General features: G+C 48.9%; 1 protein-coding gene across 1 annotated transcript, besides 8 other annotated features; it reads left to right on the plus strand.

The window, feature by feature from the left end:
• Nucleotides 6-218: a silencer, noted in NCBI's record as "fragment chr11:65601289-65601501 (GRCh37/hg19 assembly coordinates)". NCBI's record gives its function as "represses an EF-1alpha promoter that drives an FKBP-Casp9 reporter gene in an ReSE screen in both phorbol 12-myristate 13-acetate-treated (for megakaryocytic differentiation) and untreated K562 erythroleukemia cells {active_cell/tissue: K562 | K562(+PMA)}" and the evidence as "EXISTENCE:reporter gene assay evidence [ECO:0000049][PMID:32094911]".
• Nucleotides 6-232: a biological region, named in NCBI's record as "ReSE screen-validated silencer GRCh37_chr11:65601289-65601501".
• Nucleotides 143-232: an enhancer, noted in NCBI's record as "active region_5008". NCBI's record gives its function as "activates an Ori minimal core promoter by ATAC-STARR-seq in GM12878 lymphoblastoid cells {active_cell/tissue: GM12878}" and the evidence as "EXISTENCE:reporter gene assay evidence [ECO:0000049][PMID:35858748]".
• On the plus strand, nt 151-19,889 carry SNX32 (sorting nexin 32). The gene is made up of 13 exons (NM_152760.3): nt 151-289; nt 15,666-15,770; nt 16,108-16,218; nt 16,338-16,459; nt 16,619-16,742; nt 16,939-17,043; nt 17,243-17,348; nt 17,516-17,591; nt 17,828-17,867; nt 18,653-18,739; nt 18,818-18,977; nt 19,061-19,146; nt 19,470-19,889. The coding sequence occupies exons 1-13, from the start codon at nt 254-256 to the stop codon at nt 19,521-19,523; spliced, it is 1,212 nt and encodes a 403-aa protein (NP_689973.2). The 5' UTR covers nt 151-253; the 3' UTR covers nt 19,524-19,889.
• Nucleotides 16,961-17,120: an enhancer, noted in NCBI's record as "active region_5009". NCBI's record gives its function as "activates an Ori minimal core promoter by ATAC-STARR-seq in GM12878 lymphoblastoid cells {active_cell/tissue: GM12878}" and the evidence as "EXISTENCE:reporter gene assay evidence [ECO:0000049][PMID:35858748]".
• Nucleotides 17,226-17,520: a silencer, noted in NCBI's record as "tiled region #3467; HepG2 Repressive DNase matched - State 12:CtcfO". NCBI's record gives its function as "represses a minimal TATA promoter and a strong SV40 promoter by Sharpr-MPRA in HepG2 cells {active_cell/tissue: HepG2}" and the evidence as "EXISTENCE:reporter gene assay evidence [ECO:0000049][PMID:27701403]".
• Nucleotides 17,642-18,503: an enhancer, noted in NCBI's record as "H3K27ac-H3K4me1 hESC enhancer chr11:65618925-65619786 (GRCh37/hg19 assembly coordinates)". NCBI's record gives its function as "activates a minimal SCP1, AML or CMV promoter by ChIP-STARR-seq in primed H9 embryonic stem cells {active_cell/tissue: H9 hESC(primed)}" and the evidence as "EXISTENCE:reporter gene assay evidence [ECO:0000049][PMID:30033119]".
• Nucleotides 18,751-18,970: an enhancer, noted in NCBI's record as "active region_5010". NCBI's record gives its function as "activates an Ori minimal core promoter by ATAC-STARR-seq in GM12878 lymphoblastoid cells {active_cell/tissue: GM12878}" and the evidence as "EXISTENCE:reporter gene assay evidence [ECO:0000049][PMID:35858748]".
• Nucleotides 19,021-19,070: an enhancer, noted in NCBI's record as "active region_5011". NCBI's record gives its function as "activates an Ori minimal core promoter by ATAC-STARR-seq in GM12878 lymphoblastoid cells {active_cell/tissue: GM12878}" and the evidence as "EXISTENCE:reporter gene assay evidence [ECO:0000049][PMID:35858748]".
• Nucleotides 19,890-20,421: the final 532 nt, after the last annotated feature.

Below are 20,421 nucleotides of genomic sequence, written 5' to 3' on the forward strand. Positions count from 1 at the left end.
GGGGCCTGGGACAGGAACGACAGACAATGCAGCCAATGGCGTCACGCGCGGTGCCCCGCTACCCAATCGAAAGGCGTGGCTGAGGGAAACGCGGTGGGAACCGCCCCCGACTCCAGGCGACTCCTTGGCCGGGCGGGGGAGAGCGTCCCCGTCAGCTGAGAGCATCCTCACTCGGTCAGTTCCTCGGGCGAGTTACGGGGACGACCTGCGGGAGCACGCGGGCAGTGGCCGGACGCTGAAGCCCAGGAGAGCGATGGAGACGTATGCGGAGGTTGGGAAGGAGGGCAAGGTAGAGAAAGGATGAAGACCCCCACCCCAGCCTCCCCTCACTCCATGAAAGCCCGTGATGCCCAATCATGCGGTGGTGTGTGTGTGTCTGTGTGTGTGTGGTCTGCCTCTGTGTGTTTCTGTGTGTGTCTGTGTGTGTATAGTCTGCATGTGTCTGTTTCTCTGTGTGTCTGTGTGTATGTCGATGTGCCTGCATATGTCTGTGTGTGTGTGTATCTGTGTATGTCTGTATTTGTGTCTCTGTGTGTCTGTGTGTCTGTGTGTGTCTCAGTGTGTGTCTGTGTCTTTGTGTGTCTCTGTGTATCTGTGTGTGTGTCTGTGTGTCTCCGTGTCTCTGTGTGTGTGTGTATGGCCTGTGTGTGTCTGTGTGTGTGCACGTATGCGTCCATGTGGGTGTTTGTGCGTGCATGTCTGTGTCTGTCTCTGTGTGTGTCTGTGCATGTCTGTGTGTGTGTGTCTGTGTGTCTGTGTCTGTGTATGGTCTGCGTGTGTCTTTGTGTCTGTGTCTGTCTGTGTGTATGGTCTGCATGTGTGCATGTATGCATCTGTGTGTGTCTCTGTGTGTATCTGTGTGTGCACGCATGTGCCTGTGTGTGTCTGCGCAGGTCTGTGTCTCTTTGTGTCTGAGTGTGTGTCTGTCTCTGTGTCTATGTATGGTCTGCGTGCATCTTTATGTCTGTGTGTGTGTGTCTCTGTGTGTGTGTATGGTCTGCGTGTGTCTGTGTGTGTGTGTCTGTGTATTTCTGGGTCTGTGTGTGTGTTTGCATGTGTCTGTGTGTGTCTGTATCCGTGTGTCTTTGTATATCTGTGTGTGTCTATGTCAGTGTGTCTGTGTGTGCATCTGTGTGTGTCTGTGTGCCTGTGTATGATCTGTGTATGTCGTTGTGTGTGTCTGTGTGTGTGTTTCTCTGTGCCTGTGTGTTTGTGTGTGTCTGTGTATCTGTGTGTGTTTCTATGTGTGTCTGTGTGTGCGTGTGTCTGTGTTTGTCTCGTGTGTCTGTGTGTGTGTATGTGCCCATGTGTCTCTGTGTGTATGTGTGTGTCTGCGCAAGTGAGAGAAAGGAGACTTGAGCAAGGGAGTGGGGAGCCTCTGTGGCACCTGTGTGCGGACTGATGAGGATGCCAAGGGAGGCAGGGTTTTGCCTTTGTCCTTACAGATGGAAAGGGACCCGTCACTGTCACTCTTACCCTCCCCAAGACCAACTCAGGCTGTCTTGATGGGGGTAGGTGGGTAGGGGGTGGGAGGTGAGGGCGGGGAGGAGGGCAGGATGTTAGGGATTGAGCAGAGGCTGGCATCCTCTTCTCCTTTCCCAAGGCGAGAGAATCCTGTTCAGCCCTAATGGCTTCACTTGTGTTCTGAGTTCATGTAATGATAAGACCATTTCTTCCTTTTGACTTCCTTCAGCAAAGAGTTGTCGAGCATCCACGTTGTGCCAAGGATGGTTAGAGCATGGAGAGGTGCACCCTTTTGGGAGATGGAGGCATATGCATAGTGGGCCGTGGCTGAGGATGAGGATGGAGCAGCTGTGGTCCACCTTTGAGGCCCATCTCCCTCAAGCAGCTACCAAGCAGTGTAGGTCAGAGTAGAGATACTAAGGCAGGAGGAAAGAGGCTGGGGACTAGGGGACCTGCTGCACCAGTTAGCCAGACTGCATGTGTTTGGGGTCTGGGGCAAGGGGAGAGCCTGCCTTGGGAGTGTCAGAGAAGCCAAGAAATGAGGAGCGGGGTTCAAGTGGTTTAGAGGGGCAAGAGGGGCTGAGAGACACAAAGCATGGAACAGAATGGTCTGCTTCAATGTTTATCTATGTATGTTCATCTTCATGGTTAAAGGAGTTAACATATATAAAATGCTTAGGGCATATACATGAAATGGTTAGAGTGGTGCCTAGCATATTGTAAGGGCCAACATAAGGGTTAGCTATTATATTATTATTATTGTTATATTATTTTTGCTGTATGTTCTGAGGATGTGCTGAGCTATTGAACAGATGGATGCACCCCCCAGCCTTTGCAGGAGCCATACTCTGAAAGTTCACTACCAGTACTTATCCTCTAGGTTAGGTGTTGCCTTCTCTAAGATCTTCCTTTAAATATAGAGACATTAAAAGAATATATAAGCAAAAATATAATAGAGGAGAAAATGAAATAATATAAAATACTGGCCAGGCGTGGTGGCTCAAGCCTGTAATCGCAGCACTCTGGGAGGCCAAAGCAGGCAAATCACTTGAGGTCAGGAATTCAAGACTAGCCTGGCCAACATGGTGAAACCCCATCTCTACTAAAAATACAAAAAATTGGCCAGACGTGGTGGTGCGCACCTGTAATCCCAACTACTTGGGAGACTGAGACAGGAGAATAGCTTGAACCCAGGAGGCAAAGGTTGCAGTGAGCCAAGATCGCACCATTGAACTCTAGCCTGGGCAACAGAGCGAGAATCTGTCTCAAAAATAAATAAATAAACCCAGAGGATTATAAATAATTATACTATAAAGACACATGCACACGTGTTTGTTGCAGCACTATTTACAATAGCAAAGACTTGGAACCAACCCAAATGCCCATCAATGATAGACTGGATAGAGAAAATGTGGCACATATACACTATGGAATATTATGTAGCCATAAAAAAGAATATCATGTCCTTTCCAGGGACCTGGATGAAGCTGGAAGCCATCATTCTCAGCAAACTAATACAGGAACATAAAACCAAACACCACACGTTCTTACTCATAAGTGGGAGTTGAACAATGAGAACACATGGACACAGGGAGGGGAACAATACACACTGTGGCCTGTGGGGGGCTGGGGGGTAAGGGGAGGGACAGCATTAGGACAAATACCTAATGCATGTGGGGCTTAAAACCTAGATGACGGGTTGATAGGTGCAGCAAACCAGTATGGCACATGTATACCTGTGTAACAAACCTGCACATTCTGTAAATGTATCCCAGAACTTAAAGTAAAATTTAAAAATTAAAATAAACAAATAAAAGAAATAATATAAAATACTATTTAAATAATCCAAAAGAGGACAAGAAAGAAAGAATACAGGAATAAAAACAGATGGGACAAAGAGAAAGCAAAAAGCAAGATGACAAGTTGGTAGCCTGCTACATCAGTAATTACAATGATTATGAATGGACTAAATTCTCCAATTTAAAAAAATATTGTCAGATTGTATTTTGGAAAAAAAACAACTAGAGTTTGTTAAAAGAGACATATTTTAAATATAAGGACACAGAAGGGTTGACATAAATGGGTGGGAGCTGGGCATAGTGATGCACACCTGTGGTCCCAGCTATGTGGGAGGCAGAGGTAGGAGGATTGCTTGAGCTCAGGATTGTTTGAGGTTACAGTGAGCTGTGATTGTGTCACTGCACTCCAACCTGGGACACAGAGTAAGACCTTGTCTTTAAAACAAAACAAAACCAAAAAAGGGCCAGGCACAGTGGCTCACACCTGTAATCCCAGCATTTTGGGAGGTCAAGGTGGGCAGATCACTTGAGGTCAGGAGTTCGAGACCAGCCTGGCCAACAGAGCGGACCCCCATCTCTACTAAAAATACAAAAATTAGCTGGGCATGGTGCCACACATCTGTAATCCCCACTACTCAGGAGGCTGAGGCAGGAGAATGGCTTGAGCCCGGGAGATGGAGGTTCCAGTGAGCCAAGATCTCGCCACTGTACTCCATCCTGGGCAACAGGGCAAGACTCTCTCAAAAAAAAAAAAAAAAAAAACGAAGAAGAAGAAGTATATTAGAAATAAAGAAGGATGGCTGGGTGCGGTGGCTCACGCCTGTAATGCCAGCACTTTGAGAGGCCAAGGTGGGTAGATCACCTGAGGTCAGGAGTTTGAGACCAGCCTGGCCAACATGGTGAAACCCCGTCTCTACTAAAAATACAAAAATTAGCCAGGTGTACTGGCAGGCACCTGTAATCCCAGCTACTCGGGAGGCTGAGGTAGGAGAATCACTTGAACCTGGGAGGCGGAGGTTGCAGTGAGCCAAGATCATGCCATTTCACTCCAGCCTGGGTGACGGGAGTGAAACTCTGTCAAAAAAAGAAAGAAAGAAGGAAAGAAAGAAGGAAGGAAGGAAGGAAGAAAAGAAGGAAGGAAGGAAGGAAGGAGAAATAAAGAGGGACATTTTATAATGATGAAAGACTTGATTCCACAGAAAGGTAAAACAATCCTAAATTTATAGGCACCTAATAATATAGCATCAAAATATGCAAAATAAAAGATGACAGAACTAAAAGGAGTAATAGGCAAACCTACAATTAAATAGTAAGTAATTGTATTTATTTTTTAGAAATGGGGTCTTTTTATGTTGGCCAAGCTGGTCTCCAACTCCTGAGCTCAAGTGATCCTCCCACCTCAGCCTTCCAAAGTGCTGGAATTATAGGCATGAGTCACCATGCCCAGACCAGTTAGAAATTCTAACACAATTCTCAACAACTGTTAGAACAAGCAGACAAAAAAATTAGTAAGGATTTAGAAGATTTAAATAACATGATTAATCAACTTGATCTAATTGACTTATGTAGAGCTCTATACCCAACAACTGCAGAAAATACATTATTTCAAATGCACATGAAACATTTACCAAAATAAATGAAATGTTGAGCTATAATGCAAGTATCAATAAATTTTAAAAGACGAAATCATAGATTATATACTCTGACCCAGAATTAATGTGGAATCAAAACAAAAACATAACTAGATTCCAAAATATTGGAAATTAAGCAACATGCTTCTAGATAACTCTTAGGCCAAAGAAGAAATTATAATGGAAATTAGAAAATATTTTTAAATTTATGATTACAAAAATATGACATATCGAAACTCATAAGATACACAGTTTCCAGAGGGAGATTTATACCACCACATGCATATTTTAGAAAAGAAGAAAGCCTTGAGTATATGACACTAAAGAAAATAAGTAATTATTATTATTATTATTATTTTTGAGAGGGAGTCTCACTTCATTGCCCAGGCTGGAGTGCAGTGGCATAATCTCAGCTCACTGCGACTTCCGCCTGCCAGGTTTAAGCAATTCTCCTGCCTCAGTCTCCCGAGTAGCTGGGACTACAGCTGTGCCCCACCACGCCCAGCTAATTTTTTTGTATTTTTTTTTTTTTTTTTTTTTTGAGACGGAGTCTCGCTCTGTCGCCCAGGCTGGAGTGCAGTGGCGGGATCTCGGCTCACTGCAAGCTCCGCCTCCCGGGTTCACGCCATTCTCCCGCCTCAGCCTCCCAAGTAGCTGGGACTACAGGCGCCCGCCACTACGCCCGGCTAATTTTTTGTATTTTTAGTAGAGACGGGGTTTCACCGTTTTAGCCGGGATGGTCTCGATCTCCTGACCTCGTGATCCGCCCGCCTCGGCCTCCCAAAGTGCTGGGATTACAGGCATTTTTTTGTATTTTTAGTAGAGACGATGTTTCACCATGTTGGCCAGGCTGGTCTTGAACTCCTGACCTCAGGTGATCCACTCGCCTCGGCCTCCCAAAGTGCTGGGATTATAGCATGAGCCACCGCACACCGGCTGGAAAATAAGTAACTAAAAAAATTTTTTTTGTGAACCATGATCACACCACTGCACTCTAGCCTGGGTGACACAGTGAGACCCTGTCCCAAAAAAAAAAAAAAAAATTATCAAGCTGAATAAGCAATATATAAAAGGATAATACTTCATGAACAAGGCCTTCTTCCAGGAATGCAAGGTGGTTTAACATTTGCAAATCAATCAATGAAATTCAGCATATAAACAGATAACAAAGGCCGGGCGCGGTGGCTCACGCCTGTAATCCCAGCACTTTGGGAGGCCGAGGTGGGCGGATCACCTGAGGTCAGGAGTTCGAGACCAGCCTCAACATGGAGAAACCCCGTCTCTACTAAAAATACAAAATTAGCCGGGCATGGTAGTGCATGCCTGTAATCCCAGCTACTCAGGAGGCTGAGGTAGGAGAATTGCTTGAACCTGGGAGGCGGAGGTTGTGGTGAGCCAAGATCGCGCCAGTGCACTCCAGCCTGGGCAACAAGAGTGAAACTCTGTCTCCAAAAAAATAAATAAATAAATAAACAGATAACAAGAACATCCATATGATTATCTCAATCAAAGGAAAAAGATTGATAAAAATCAACACTCTCATCAAATTAGGGATAGCGGGGAGCTCCATTAAGCTTCATTAAGATACCCTTGATTAAAAAAAATATCTAAAATCACTTTGGGGTTAAATTTAAATGCAGTCCCTCTGAGATTAGGAACATGTCATCATATCATCACTTCCACATTGTACTGGAGGTCTTGGCAAGTATAATAAGGCAGTAAAAAGAAATAAAGGTATAAAGGTTGGAAAGGAAGAACTAAAACTGTCATCATTTTAGATTATAGGACTGTATATGCAGGAAATCCAAAAGAACTGGCCAGGAAGGTGGCTCAGGCCTGTAATCTCTGCACTTTGGGAGGCCTAATTTAGGAGATCTCTTGAGCCCAGGAGTTCGAGACCAACCTGGGCAACATAGTGAGAACCTATCTCTACAAAAAAATACAAAAATTAGCCAGGCATGGTGGCAGATGCCTGTAGTCCCAGCTACTCAGGAGGCTGAAGTGGGAGGATCCCTTGAGCCTGGGAGTTCAAGGCTGCCATGAGCCAAGATGGCACTACCACACTCCATCCTGGATGACAGAGCAAGACCCTGTCTCAAAAAAAAAAAAAGAATCTACAAACGATTAAATTAATAAGTGAGTTCAGCAAGATATTTTAAAAAATTATTAAAATTAACAAGTAAATTTGTGGGGACCAAGGTAAATATATAAAAATCTATTATGGTTTTTTTTTCTTTCTTTCTTTCTTTTTTTTCTGAGATGGAGTTTCACTCTTGTCACCCAGGCTGGAGTGCAATGGTGCGATCTTGTTTCACCGCCACCTCTGCCTCCGGGTTCAAGGGATTTTCCTGCCTCAGCCTCCTGAGTAGCTGGGATTACAAGCGCCCCCCACCACACCTGGCTAATTTTTGTATTTTTAGCAGAGACGGGGTTTTACCATGTTGACCAGCCTGGTCCTCGAACTCCTGAGCTCAGGTGATCCACCCGCCTCGGCCTCCCAAAGTGCATGAGCCACCTCGCCTGGACTTTTTTTTTTTTTTGAGACAGTGTCCTGCACTGTCATCCAGGCTGGAGTGCAGTGGTATGATGGTGTGATCATGGCTCACAGCAGCCTCGACCTTCTGGGCTCAAGCGATCCTCCTGCCTCAGACTCCCAAGTAGCTGGGACTACCTGTGTTTGCCACCACACCTGGCTAATTTTTGTATTTTTTTGTAGACATAGGGTTTCGCCATGTTGCCCTGGTTGGCCTTGAACTCCTTGGCTCAAATGATTCTCCTGCCTCAGCCTTCCAAAGTGCTGGGTTCACAGGCATGAGCCACTATGCCCAGTCTATTGTGTTTCTATATACAATTAGAAGATGAAACTTTTTAAAATATAATTTAAAAAGCAAAGAAAGGGCGCCTATAATCCCAGCTGCTTGGGGGGCTGAGGCAGGAGAATCGCTTGAACCCAGGAGGCAGAGATTGCAGTGAGCCGAGATTGCGCCATCGCACTCCAGCCTGGGCAACAAGAACAAGACTCTGTCTCAAAAAATAAAAAATAAAATAAAATAAAAATAAAAAGCAAAGAAAAAGAGAATCATCAAATACCTAGGAATAAATCTCACAGAAGACATGCAAGACCTTTACACAGAAAACTACAAAACATTAAAGAAGACCTAAATAATTGGAAAGATATTACCTGTTTTTAGATTGGAAGATTAAAAATTATAAATTATAAAATTACAAAGAGATCTAGTCTTCCAAGATTGATCTATATATTTGATATAATCACAATCAAAATCCCAGTACATTTTTGAGGGGTAGAAATTAACAAGCAGAATATCTGTAGAAATGTAAAGGACCTATAATAGCCAAAATTATTTTGAAAAGAAAGAATAAAGTTGGAGGCTTTGCACTATCTGATTTCAAGTCGCACCTGTCAAGTTACAGTAATCAAGACAGTAAGATATTATCATAAGGATAAACATTTAGACCAATGGAACACAGTAGAGAGTCCAAAATTTGTCACTCTTAATAGGTCAATGGATATGTGTACACCAAAGCAATTCAATAGCAAAAGGAAAATCTTTATAACAAACAGTGCTCAAATAGCTGGCCACATGGCACAATGAATCATAACCCATACCTCACACTGCATATTCAAAATGAATTGAAAATCACCGGGCGTGGTGGATCATGCCTGTAATTCCAGCACTTTAGGAGGCCGAGGCTCAGGTGGATCAACTGAGGTCAGGAGTTTGAGACCAGACTGGCCAACATGGTGAAACACTGTCTCTACTAAAAACACAAAAAAATTAGCTGGGCCTGGTGGCACACGCCTGTAATCCCAGCTACTTGGGAGGCTGAGGCAAGAGAATGGCATGAACCCAGGAGGCAGAGGCTGCAGTGAGCCAAGATCGTGCCACTGCACTCCAGCCTGGGTGACAAAGCAAGACTCCATCTCAAGAAATTAAAATTAGGCCAGGCACGGTGGCTCATGGCTGTAATCCCAGCACTTTGGGAGAACAAGGGGGGGTGGATCGCCTGAGGTCAGGAGTTCGAGACCGCCTGGCCAACATAGTGAAACCCCGTCTCTACTAAAAATACAAAAATGAGCTGGGTGTGGTGGTGGGCGCCTGTAATCTCAGCTACTTGGGAGGCTGAGGCAGGAGAATCGCTTGAACCTGGGAGGCGGAGGTTGCAATGAGCCGAGATCCGCCATTGCACTCCAGCCTGAGCAACAAGAGCGAAACTCCATCTCAAAAAAAAAAAAAAAAAAAAAAAGAAACACTTTGGGAGGCCGAGACCGGGGGATCATGAGGTCAGGAGATCGAGACCATCCTGGCTAACATGGTGAAACCCCGTCTCTACTAAAAATACAAAAAATTAGCTGGGCGTGGTGGGCACCTGTAGTCCCAGCTACTAGGGAGGCTGAGGCAGGAGAATGGCTTGAACCCAGGAGGTGGAGCTTGCAGTGAGCCGAGATTGCGCCAGTGCACTCCAGCCTGGGCGACAGAGCAAGACTCCGTCTCAAAAAAAAAAAAAAAAGAAAAAGAAATTAAAATTAAAATGAAGAAAATGAATTGAAAATAGATCATAGCCAGGTAGGGTGGCTCATGCCTGTAATCCCAGCACTTTGGGAGGCCAAGGAGGGTAGATCACTTGAGGTCAGGAGTTTGAGACCAGCCTGGCCAAAAGAGTGAAACCCCATCTCTACTAAAAATACAGAAATTAGCCAGGCGTTGTGGCGGGCACCTGTAATTGCAGCTACTCAGGAGGCTGAGGCAGGAGAATCACGAACCTGGGAGGCGGAGGTTGCAATGAGCCAAGATCGTGCCACTGCACACCAGCCTGGGCAACAGAGCAAGACTCTGTCTCAAAAGAAAAAGAAAAAGAAAAAGAAAATGGATTATAGATACAACTGCAAGAGCTTAAACTGTAACACCTCTAGAAAAATAAATAGAATATCTTCATGACCTTGGGGTAGGCAAAGTTTTCTTTAACAGGACACAAAAAGCCTTAACCATAGACATAAAAGACTGTTATGTTGAGCTTGTAACATTTGAACCATTAAGAGTCAAAGGCAAACTATAGACTAGGAAAAGATACTGACAAAAGGTATAATCAACAATGGGTTTGTCTCCAGCAACAGTTCCTACAAATTACTGAAAAACAGATAATCTGATCTTTCAAAGAGGTGGCAGGAAAGAATCAGAGACCTGAATAGGCACTTTACAAAAGAAGATATGCAGATGGCTGATAAATACAGAAAATGCCGCTCAACATCATTCCTCACCAGGTAATACCAGTTACACTCCCCATGCGCAATTACCATGCCTGGACTAACAGGGTGAAAGTAAAAAAGACTAACAATTCTGAGCTGTCACAGTGGTTTGTGCCCAGACTGATCTATATATTCGATGCAATCACAATCAAAATCCCAGTATGTTTTTCAGGGGTAGAAATGTAAAGGACCTATAATCACCCAAATGATTCTGAAAAAAAAGAATAAAGGTGGAGGCCTTGCACTATCTGATTTCCAGTCTCACCTGTTAGATTACAGTAATCAGTCCAGTGAGATATTATCATAAGGACAAACATAGACCAATGGAACAGAGAGTCCAAAGTTTATCATACTTAATAGGTCAATTGATACGTGTACACAAAAGCAGCTCTCAGCTACTCCAGAGGATTGCCTGAGCCCAGTTCAAGGCCAGCCTGGACAACATTAGCAGGACCCCTTTTCTTTAAAAAAAAAAAAATAATAAATAGAGAGAGAGAGAGATAAAATGACTAACGACTCTGTGGCAAAGATGTAGTACAACTGGAACTTTCATACACAGTGCTGCTGGGAGTGTACATTGGTTTAGTCACCTTAGAAAACCGTTTGGCAGTATTTACTAAAGTGTTTTAAACATACAATATGTCTTCCCTGTAACTAAGCAATTCTCATGCCCAACAGAAATGGGGACTTAGGTCAAAAGTCCTCAAAAGACGGCTGGGCGTGGTGGCTCACATCTGTAATCCTAGCACTTTGGGAGGCCGAAGCGGGCAGATCACTTGAGGTCAGGAGTTCAAGAGCAGCCTGGCCAACATGGCGAAACCCCATCTCTACTAAATTACAAAAATTAGCCAGGCGTGGTGGCGGGCACCTGTATCCCCAGCTACTCAGGAGGCTGAGGCAGGAGAATCACTTGAACCTGGGAGGCGGAGGTTGCTGTGAGCTAAGATCACGTCACTGCACTCCAGCCTGGGTGACACAGCAAGACTCTGTCTCAAAAAAAAAAAAAAAAGTCTTCTAAAGACCTGTGTAAGAATGTTCATGGAAGCCAGACATGGTGCTGCACACTTGTAATCCCAGCTACTTGGGAGGCTGAAGTGGAAGGATGGCTTGAGGCCAGGAGTTCAACCAGCCTGGGCAGCATAGCGAGAACACCCCCCTGCTTTAAAAAAAAAAAAAAAAAAAAAAGGCTGGGTGTGGTGGCTCACTCCTGTAATTCCAGCACTTTGGGAGGCCGAGGCGGGCGGATCATGAGGTCTGGAGATCGAGACCATCCTGGCTAACACAGTGAAACCCCGTCTCTACTAAAAAATACAAAATTAGCTGGGCGTGGTGGTGTATGACTGTAATCCCAGCTACTAGGGAGGCTGAGGCAGGAGAATGGCATGAACCCGGGAGGCGGAGGTTGCAGTGAGCTGAGATCGTGCCACTGCACTCCAGCCTGGGCAACAGAGCAAGACTCCATCTCAAAAAAAAAAAAAAAGTAACCGGTTGCAGTGGCTCACGCCTGTAATCCCAACATTTTGGAAGGCCAAGGTGGGCGGATCACCTGAGGTCAGGAGTTTGAGACCAACCTGGCCAACATAATGAAACCCCGTTTCTACTAAAAATGCAAAAAATTAGCCAGGCATGCTGGCCCATGCTTGTAATCCCAGCTACTCAGGAAGCTGAGGCAGGAGAATCGCTTGAACCAGGAGGCAGAGGTTGCAGTGAGCCGAGATCTTGCCATTACACTCCAGCTTGGTCAACAAGAGCAAAACTCCATCTCAAAAAAAAACCAACAAAAAACTGTTCATGGCAGCTTTATTCATAATAGCCAAAAACTTGAAATAATCCAAATGACCATCAACAGTAGATACATACATTATGATATAATCATGTAATGAAATAAGACACAGCAATGAAAATAACTGCTTCTCCACTCAACAACGTAGAGAGCTCTCTAAAGAACAGGGGCACAAAAGAATACACAATGCATAATTGCATTTCTGTGAAGTTCAAGAATAGGCAGGCCAGCATAGGCTGGGCTCAGTGGCTCACACCTGTAATCCCAGTTCTATGGGAGGCCAAGGTGGGTGGATCACCTGAGGTCAGGAGTTCAAGACCAGCCTGGCCAACATGGTGAAACCCCGTCTCTGCTAAAATACAAAAATTAGCTGGACGTGGTGGTGGGCGTCTGTAATCCCAGCTACTTGGGAGGCTGAAGCAGGAGAATCCCATAAGCCTGAGTGGTAGAGGTTGCAGTGAGTTGAGATCATGTCACTGCACTCCAGCCTGGGCGACAGAGTGAGACTTCGTCTCAAAAAAAAGAATAGGCCAGGACGGGTGCGGTGGCTCACGCCTGTAATCCCAGCACTTTGGAGGCCGAGGCGGGCGGATCACCTGAGGTCAGGAGTTCCAGACCAGCTTCAACAAGGAGAAACCCCATCTCTACTAAAAATACAAAATTAGCTGGGCGTGGTGGTGTATGACTGTAATCCCAGCTACTCGGGAGGCTGAGGCAGGAGAATTGCTTGAACCTGGTAGGCAGAGGTTGCAGTGAGCTGAGATCGTGCCATTGCACTCCAGCCTGGGCAACAAGAGTGAAACTCTGTCTCGAAAAAAAAAAAAAAGAATACGCCAGAATAATCTATGGTGATAGAAGTCAGAATGGTGGTTAGTTCTGGGGTGGGAGATAATTGATGGGTGTGGGGCAAGAAGGAGCCTTCCGGAGTGTTTAAAAAAATGTTTTTTGCCAGGCACGGTGGCTCACGCCTGTAATCCCAGCACTTTGGGAGGCCAAGGCGGGAGGATGACCTGAGGTCAGGAGTTCAAGACCAGCCTGACAAACATGGAGAAACCCCATCTCTACTAAAAATACAAAATTAGCTGGGCGTGGTGGCGGGCGCCTGTAATCCCAGCTACCTGGGAGGATGAGGCAGGAGAATCGCTGGAACCCGGGAGGCGGAGGTTGTGGTGGGCTGAGATTGCACCATTGCACTCCAGCCTGGGCAACAAGAGTGAAACTCCATTTCAAAAAAAAAAATTTAGCTTTAGTTTTTTTTGTTTTTTTTTTTTAGACAGTTTCTCACTCTGTCACCTAGGTTGGAGTGCAGCGGCGAGATCCTGGCTCACTGCAGCCTGCACCTCCCAAGCTCAATCTTCCCACCTCAGCCCCCCCCAAGTAGCTGGAACCACAGGCATGTGCCACCACACCCAGCTAATTTTTAAAGTTTTTTTGTGGAGATGGGGGTCGAAGGGTGTCTCACCATGTTGCCCAGGCTCGTCTCAAACTCCTGGGCTCAAGCAATTCTCCTGCCTCAGCCTCTCTCCCAAAGTGCTGGATTACAGCACTTTTAAAAAAAAATTTTTAAATTAGCTGGGCATGGTGGCACATGCCCGTGGTCCTTGCTACTTGGAAGGCTGAGTCAGGAGGATTGTCTGAGCCCAGCTCATCACGGAGGCTGCGGTGAGCTGTGATGGCGCCACCAAACTCCAGCCTGAGTGACAGAGCAAGACCCTGTCTCCAAATAAATAAATAAAATATATATCTATCATGATCTGAGTTGGGTGATGGTTACCCAGCTGTATACACATATACAAATAATTGGTGCTTTACACTTAAAATTTGTGCACTTTCCTGTATATAACTTATACCTTAATTAAAAAAACAAAAGGGGGCTGGGTGCAGTGGCTCACACCTGTAATCCCAGCACCTTGGGAGGCCGAGGCAGGCAGATCACTTGAGCTCACAAGTTCAAGACCAGTCTGGCCAACATGGCAAAACCCCGTGTCTACTAAAAATACAAAAATTAGCTGGGAGTGGTGGCGTGTGCCTGTAATCCCAGCTACTCAGGAGGCTGAGGCAAGAGAATTGCTTGAACTTGGGAGGCAGAGTTTGCAGTTAGCCGAGATCACTTCACTGCACTCCAACCTGGGTGACAGAGCAAGATGCTATCAAAAAAAAAAAAAAAGTGAGAAACAATGTAGAGATAACCCTGTAAACAGTGGCCAGTGACCTCAGGGTCAATTCCTTCATGCCGGACAGCCAGGAGGAGGGGACAGATGCAGGGATCTCCATCCAGGGAGGAGACATCACTACTGCAGATGGGCCACCATCAAGCAAGGTCTTGCCTGTTTCTGGACCCACATATCACCAAGCCCCATCTCAGGGACCATCTCCAAAGTGTGCCAAAAGCAGAGAGAGGAGAGAGTGAGGAGGCCTCCAGATTGAGAGGTGGGACAGGTGCCTGTTGTATACTGGTGAGCAATGCTGAAGGGTAGAGTGATTCCTAAGCCTCTTCCCTTCCCCCTAATATCACTTGGCACTATGGTGTGGACACAGTAGGTATTCAATAAATGCATGTTGCTTCCGGCCCTTTGGGAGGCTGAGGTGGGAGGATTGCTTGAGCCCAGGAGTTTGAGACCAGCCTGGGCAACATAGCAAGACTCTGTCTCTAAAAAAAAAAAAAAAAGCTTGGCATGGTGGTACATGCCTGTAGTCCCAGCTACCCGGGAGGCTAAGGCAGGAGGATCACTTGAGCCCAGGAGTTGGAGGCTGCAGTGAGCTATGATGGCACCACTGCATTACAGCCTGAGTGACAGAGCGAGACCCTGTCTCAAAAATAAATAAATACATGTTGAATAGCTCAATGCAAGAATGAGCTAGTAGCTTGGTGTCTTGTGGATCTTTTCACTTGAAGAAATACACATGCTTTGCATGTAAGCTTTTGCCTCTTGGCACCAAAAGTAGTAAATGGAATGGTTTTGGCAACCCCCGCAAAAGAGGTGGGAATGTCTCATCCAACTCACTTGAAGCCCTGGTTAAGGGATGCCTGAGGTAGCCAGCTGGGGAAGGGGTGGGCAAGTAACTGAGAAAGTGCATGGGGTTGGGAATTAAGAAACTGGGTTTTGCTGGGCACGGTGGCTCATGCCTGTAATCTCAGCACTTTGGGACGCCAAGGCAGGTGGATCACTTGAGGTCAGGAGTTTGAGACCAGCCTGACCAAACATAGTGAAACCCCGTCTCTACTAAAAATACAAAAGTTAGCCAGGCATGGTGGCTCATGCCTGTGGTCCCAGCTACTCGGGAGGCTGAGGCAGCAGAATCGCTTGAACCCGGGAGGTGGAGGTTGCAGTGAGCTGAGATCGCGCCACTGCACTCCAGCCTGGGCAGTGCAAGACTCCGTCTAAAAAAACAAACAAAGAAACAACAACTGGGTTTCAATCTGGCACTGTCGCTTTGCAGCTGCATAACCTTGGACAAGTTACTTCTCCTCTGGTTGTCTCAGCTTCAACAGCTGTAAAATGGGAAGTTTTCTGCCTGCCTCCAAGGATGGGAGGGTTAAAATGTTTTGGCAGTTGCAAAACTCAGGTCAGTGCCTTATCAGGACCCCTCTCTGGTGACCTGGGGCATTGCTGAAGCAGTGCTGCTGAAGAGGGTTCTGCAGGTGGATCAGAAAGCCTGCAGGGCAAGGAAGGGCAAAGGGGCCATGCTCAGCCAGGCCAGAGACCTCCCCTCCTCCGCAGCCTTCCTGTGCATCGGTGGATCTGCAGGGAGACAGCTCCTTACAGGTGGAGATTTCTGACGCAGTGAGTGAGCGGGACAAGGTGAAATTCACTGTTCAAACAAAGGTGAGGCAGTGCGGGGCACGAGGAAAGGTCCTGGTGGCTGCCCGCAGGAGGCCTCCCCCAGGGGGTGGTAGGCATGTGCCAACACAGCCTGTGGGCACTCTTCCTCCACCTGGCACTTGCCCTCAGCCCCTCCTGGAAAGTGAGCCTCTTAGCTCTGCCTAAGGCCCCGAGTCCTAATCATTCCTGTCCACCATTCTAAATGAAATCATGCACACCTGAGCTCTAACTTTGTCCTCCCTGGGATGTGGGATGAGGGGGGCCCAAAAGTGCATGCCCAGACTTGCTGAGGCAGGGCTTGGGGCAGAGAGAGGACCTCAGTTGGCCTTCCCGCTTCCAGAGCTGCCTCCCTCACTTCGCCCAGACCGAGTTCTCAGTCGTGCGGCAGCACGAGGAGTTCATCTGGCTGCATGATGCCTACGTGGAGAATGAGGAGTACGCCGGCCTCATCGTGAGGAGGGGCTGGGCAGGGGCTGGGAGGGACAGGCAGAGCACTTGGGTGAGGACCAAAGGCTGTGATGGCCGTCTCGGCAGTGAGAGGCCTCCCAGCTCCGTCCCTCCTTTGAGCAGATCCCCCCAGCCCCTCCGAGGCCAGACTTTGAGGCTTCGAGGGAAAAGCTACAGAAATTGGGCGAGGGGGACAGCTCTGTCACTCGGGAAGAGTTTGCCAAGATGAAGCAGGAGCTGGAAGCGTGAGTGCCCCCTCCTTTCCCTGCCATCCCCAGAGTCCAGATGTCTTCCCCAGCTATCTCCCCATGAATGTTTAGCAACCCTGACCTCTGACCCCAGAAAGGGGGCAGGCAGGATGATGGGGGCTGAGGAGGGCCGGTGAGCTGCTGCCACTCTCGCAGGGAGTACCTGGCCATCTTTAAGAAGACAGTTGCGATGCACGAAGTCTTTCTGCAGCGCCTGGCGGCCCACCCCACCCTGCGTCGAGACCACAACTTCTTTGTGTTTTTGGAATATGGACAGGATGTGAGCTGGGCCGAATCCCTGGGGTCACCCTTGGGCCAGGAGTCTACCTTGGGTGGGGAGGCACCCAGGGGTGGCAGGGCTGGAGAAGGGGCCCAAGTGGGCCCAATCCTGTGTCACAGCTCCGTGAGTGGCTTGCAACTTGGGGTGGGAGGTGAGAACGCCCACCCCAGCATCATACCCTCCCTGTGTGCCTCAGCTGAGTGTCCGGGGGAAGAACAGGAAGGAGCTCCTCGGAGGGTTTCTGAGGAATATTGTGAAGTCCGCGGATGAAGCCCTCATCACGGGCATGTCAGGGCTCAAGGTAACCCCTGGTGCTCCTCTCCGGATTCAACCCAGCACCTCAAGTCCACAGCACAGATTGAGGCCCAGGCTGGGTGTGGGAAGGAAGCCACTGGTGGGGCCTGGCCTGGTTTGGAAGGAGATTTTGCCAACCCTGGGTGCCTGTGTTGTCAAGCCCCGTGGTGACCCAGTGTAAATGGGGTCCTGCCTGGCTCCCTTAGGAGGTGGATGACTTCTTTGAGCATGAGAGGACCTTCCTGTTGGAGTATCACACCCGTATCCGAGATGCCTGCCTGCGGGCCGACCGCGTCATGCGCGCCCACAAGTGTACGCAGGGCCCAAGGGGTCCTGGATCCCCCTGCCCCTCTCCCCAGCGGTTCAACTCCTTGGGGGAGAGAAGAGAGCAGGGCGTGCCTTGTTGTTTGTCTGTGGCCACAAGCACCAAGGCTTGACATGCAGATGTAGGGGCTCTGATGGGGGCTGTTCCCCAACAGGCCTGGCAGACGATTATATCCCTATCTCAGCTGCGCTGAGCAGTCTGGGAACACAGGAAGTCAACCAGCTAAGGACGTGAGGACTCCCCCCACCCCTACCCTCTCCCTGTGCCTGTAATACCATGTCTTCCCATGAGGGGTCACTCTGTAGATGTCTACTGTCAGCTCTAGGTGGGAGGTGTAGGCTCTCCTGTTGGGGGATGGTGTTGGGAAGGAAAGGGGAGAGGGAGATTCCCAAGGAGAGGCTGAGACAGAGAGGCTTTGAGCTGTTCCTCAGCCCCCTACCCTAACTCCCTCCCTACTGCTTCCTAGGAGCTTCCTCAAATTGGCAGAGCTCTTTGAACGGCTGAGGGTGAGTACTGCCTTCTGTGCTCAAAGGCTTTCCTGGTGAGCTTTGCAGGGAAGATGAGTCCTGGCAGAGGGAAGAGCTCCAGGATCATCTTGGGTTCAGTGATAACTTGGGCCCAGTGGCAAGTTGGGCTTACACTCCAGACTAGTTTAACAAAAGGTGGGGTGAAGACAAGGATCCAGCTTCGTGTGTGTGTTGGGGGGTGCAGGGGCATGCACATGTATGCACGTGTGCAGCAGCGGAGGGTTGGGAGGCACAAGGGTGTGCCCAAACCTCTGGCAGGCTGCACCCAGCTGCCAGCACACTGCCCGGGCACACATGTTCCCCACTCTTCCCTAAGAAAGTCACTGGAGTGTTGCCATCTTCCTAAAATGTCTATTGGACCGCATCTCTTCCCTGCTCAAGGCCCTTCAGAGACCCTGCCCCTTCTGGAAGCTCCTAAAGTCCTGAGCTTCCACTTTCAGCCTCTTGTGCTCCAGCCACTGCCTCCCTCCCCTGCTTTGCCCAAGTGCCCTCCCTGAACTAAAGTTTCCCTGAACACATAGCCGGGCTTGCACAGCTGCCAAGCCCTCAGCGCCCTCTGTCCAGCTCTTACTCAGTCCCCGAGATCCAGACTAGATCCCACTTCCTCTGTGAAGCCTTCCCTGGCCTGCACCCCTCAACACCAGACCTGACCTGGAACAGTTACCTAAGGCTTCTTTGCTGGATATTTAGATGAAGAGGTGCCTCCCACCCCTTAGCTGCCCCTCTGACAAGCTCCCTTCCCAGTGCCCACCTTTCTGATGCAGAAGCTGGAGGGCCGGGTGGCTTCCGATGAGGACCTGAAGCTGTCAGACATGCTGAGGTACTACATGCGTGACTCACAGGCAGCCAAGGTGAGAGGCAGCCCCAGCGCAGCGCTCAGGCCCGGATGCCAGGACAGGGCAGCAGTGACCCTGTGCCCATGGTCCTAGGACCTGCTGTACCGGCGGCTGCGGGCACTGGCCGACTACGAGAATGCCAACAAGGCGCTGGACAAGGCGCGCACCAGGAACCGGGAGGTGCGGCCCGCCGAGAGCCACCAGCAGCTGTGCTGCCAACGCTTCGAGCGCCTCTCCGACTCCGCCAAGCAAGGTGAGCCCGCAGCCCCCAGCCCCAGCCTGGGGCCACATGCCCTGCCCTGCCCGGATCCCCATGCCTCTTCCCCTCCTCTCCAGAGCTCATGGACTTCAAGTCCCGCCGGGTCTCCTCTTTTCGAAAGAATCTCATTGAGCTGGCAGAGCTGGAGCTCAAACACGCCAAGGTGAGCCCTCCCACCTCACTGGGCCCTTGTGAAGCCTCCCACCTCCCACCTCCCTCCCTCCCCCAGGCACCAGGGTGTGCGTGCATGTGAGGGTGTGCACGCATGTATGCGCGTGTGTGTGCATGAGAGGAGCCCCAGCTAAGGCTTGGGGCCATGCTTCCCTGGCTCAGGACCCGTGCCTTCTGGGTAGGAAGGCCCAATTAACAGCAGCTGTTATTGCAGAGAGCAGGGGTGTGGGGAGCGAGGGAGCATCTAAGGTGCAGAAAGAATGGCAGCCTGACTCAGGGAGCAGGGGACTTCAAGGACCTGTTTCTCCTCTGCAGGCCAGCACCCTGATTCTCCGGAACACCCTTGTTGCCCTAAAGGGGGAGCCTTAGAGTAGCCAGAGCTCAGCCAGACCCTAATCTGGGATCTCCAGTGACCAGGGTATCCCAGACCCCTCTCTCCGGCAAGATGTCTCCTTCCCTAGCAGTGCCACTAGCCACACCCTCACTCTGCCCCACATCCTCTCAGGGAAAGCCCAAACCCCCTATCACCACCACCACAGGTGCCAGGCCCTGCAAGACACAGGGCAGCATGGGCATCATAACTGGCCACAGTCAGCAGAGCCCCAGGGACCCTGACACCTCTCCCCAGGAAGCTGAGGAACAGCCTCTACCCTCACCCATAGCCCTGAAGGAATCATAGCTCACTTGATCCCGGCCTGTTCTCCTTCGCAAATAAAAACCCTGGTTTTGTAGCAAGGAGGCCTGTTGTCCTTACTTCCCTTCCCACAGCTCAAAGGTCCACCAGGCACACTTTCTGCCAAGGCAGTATGATCAGATCCTGGAGACACCAAGGAGGGCACCCCTGCAGCATCCTCAGCCCTCTCTCCAGTGACAGCAGGCTCCCTGTGGGAAGGCGCGACACCCAGAAGCTGGGACCTAGGAACCCCAGAAGTCTTCCAGGTTTGCCCCTACCCCCATAAACCCTAGCACAAAAATGAATCCCAAGTTCTCCACACCTATTTCCTAACCAGAAAAGGGATCTAGCCCTTCCTCCCAGAACCGCTCACAAGTTCCCAGGAGTTATGGAGCCAACTGTAACACCAGGAGGACTCTTCCTCAGTTCAGTTGATAAGGGAAATATAGATGCCACATTACCACTCCCAGTTCACCTCACCCTAGGGCCAGATTTCTTGTATGTCTTTGCCTGCTGGGCAGGAAAAAGCCCAAAGTACAGGCTGGAAACAGCCCTTGACAATGCTGGCAAAAGGCTCAGGGTACCGGCAACACC

The sequence above is a fragment of the Homo sapiens genome, chromosome 11 (assembly GCF_000001405.40).
Source record: "Homo sapiens chromosome 11, GRCh38.p14 Primary Assembly".
In the NCBI taxonomy this organism is placed as follows: domain Eukaryota; kingdom Metazoa; phylum Chordata; class Mammalia; order Primates; family Hominidae; genus Homo; species Homo sapiens.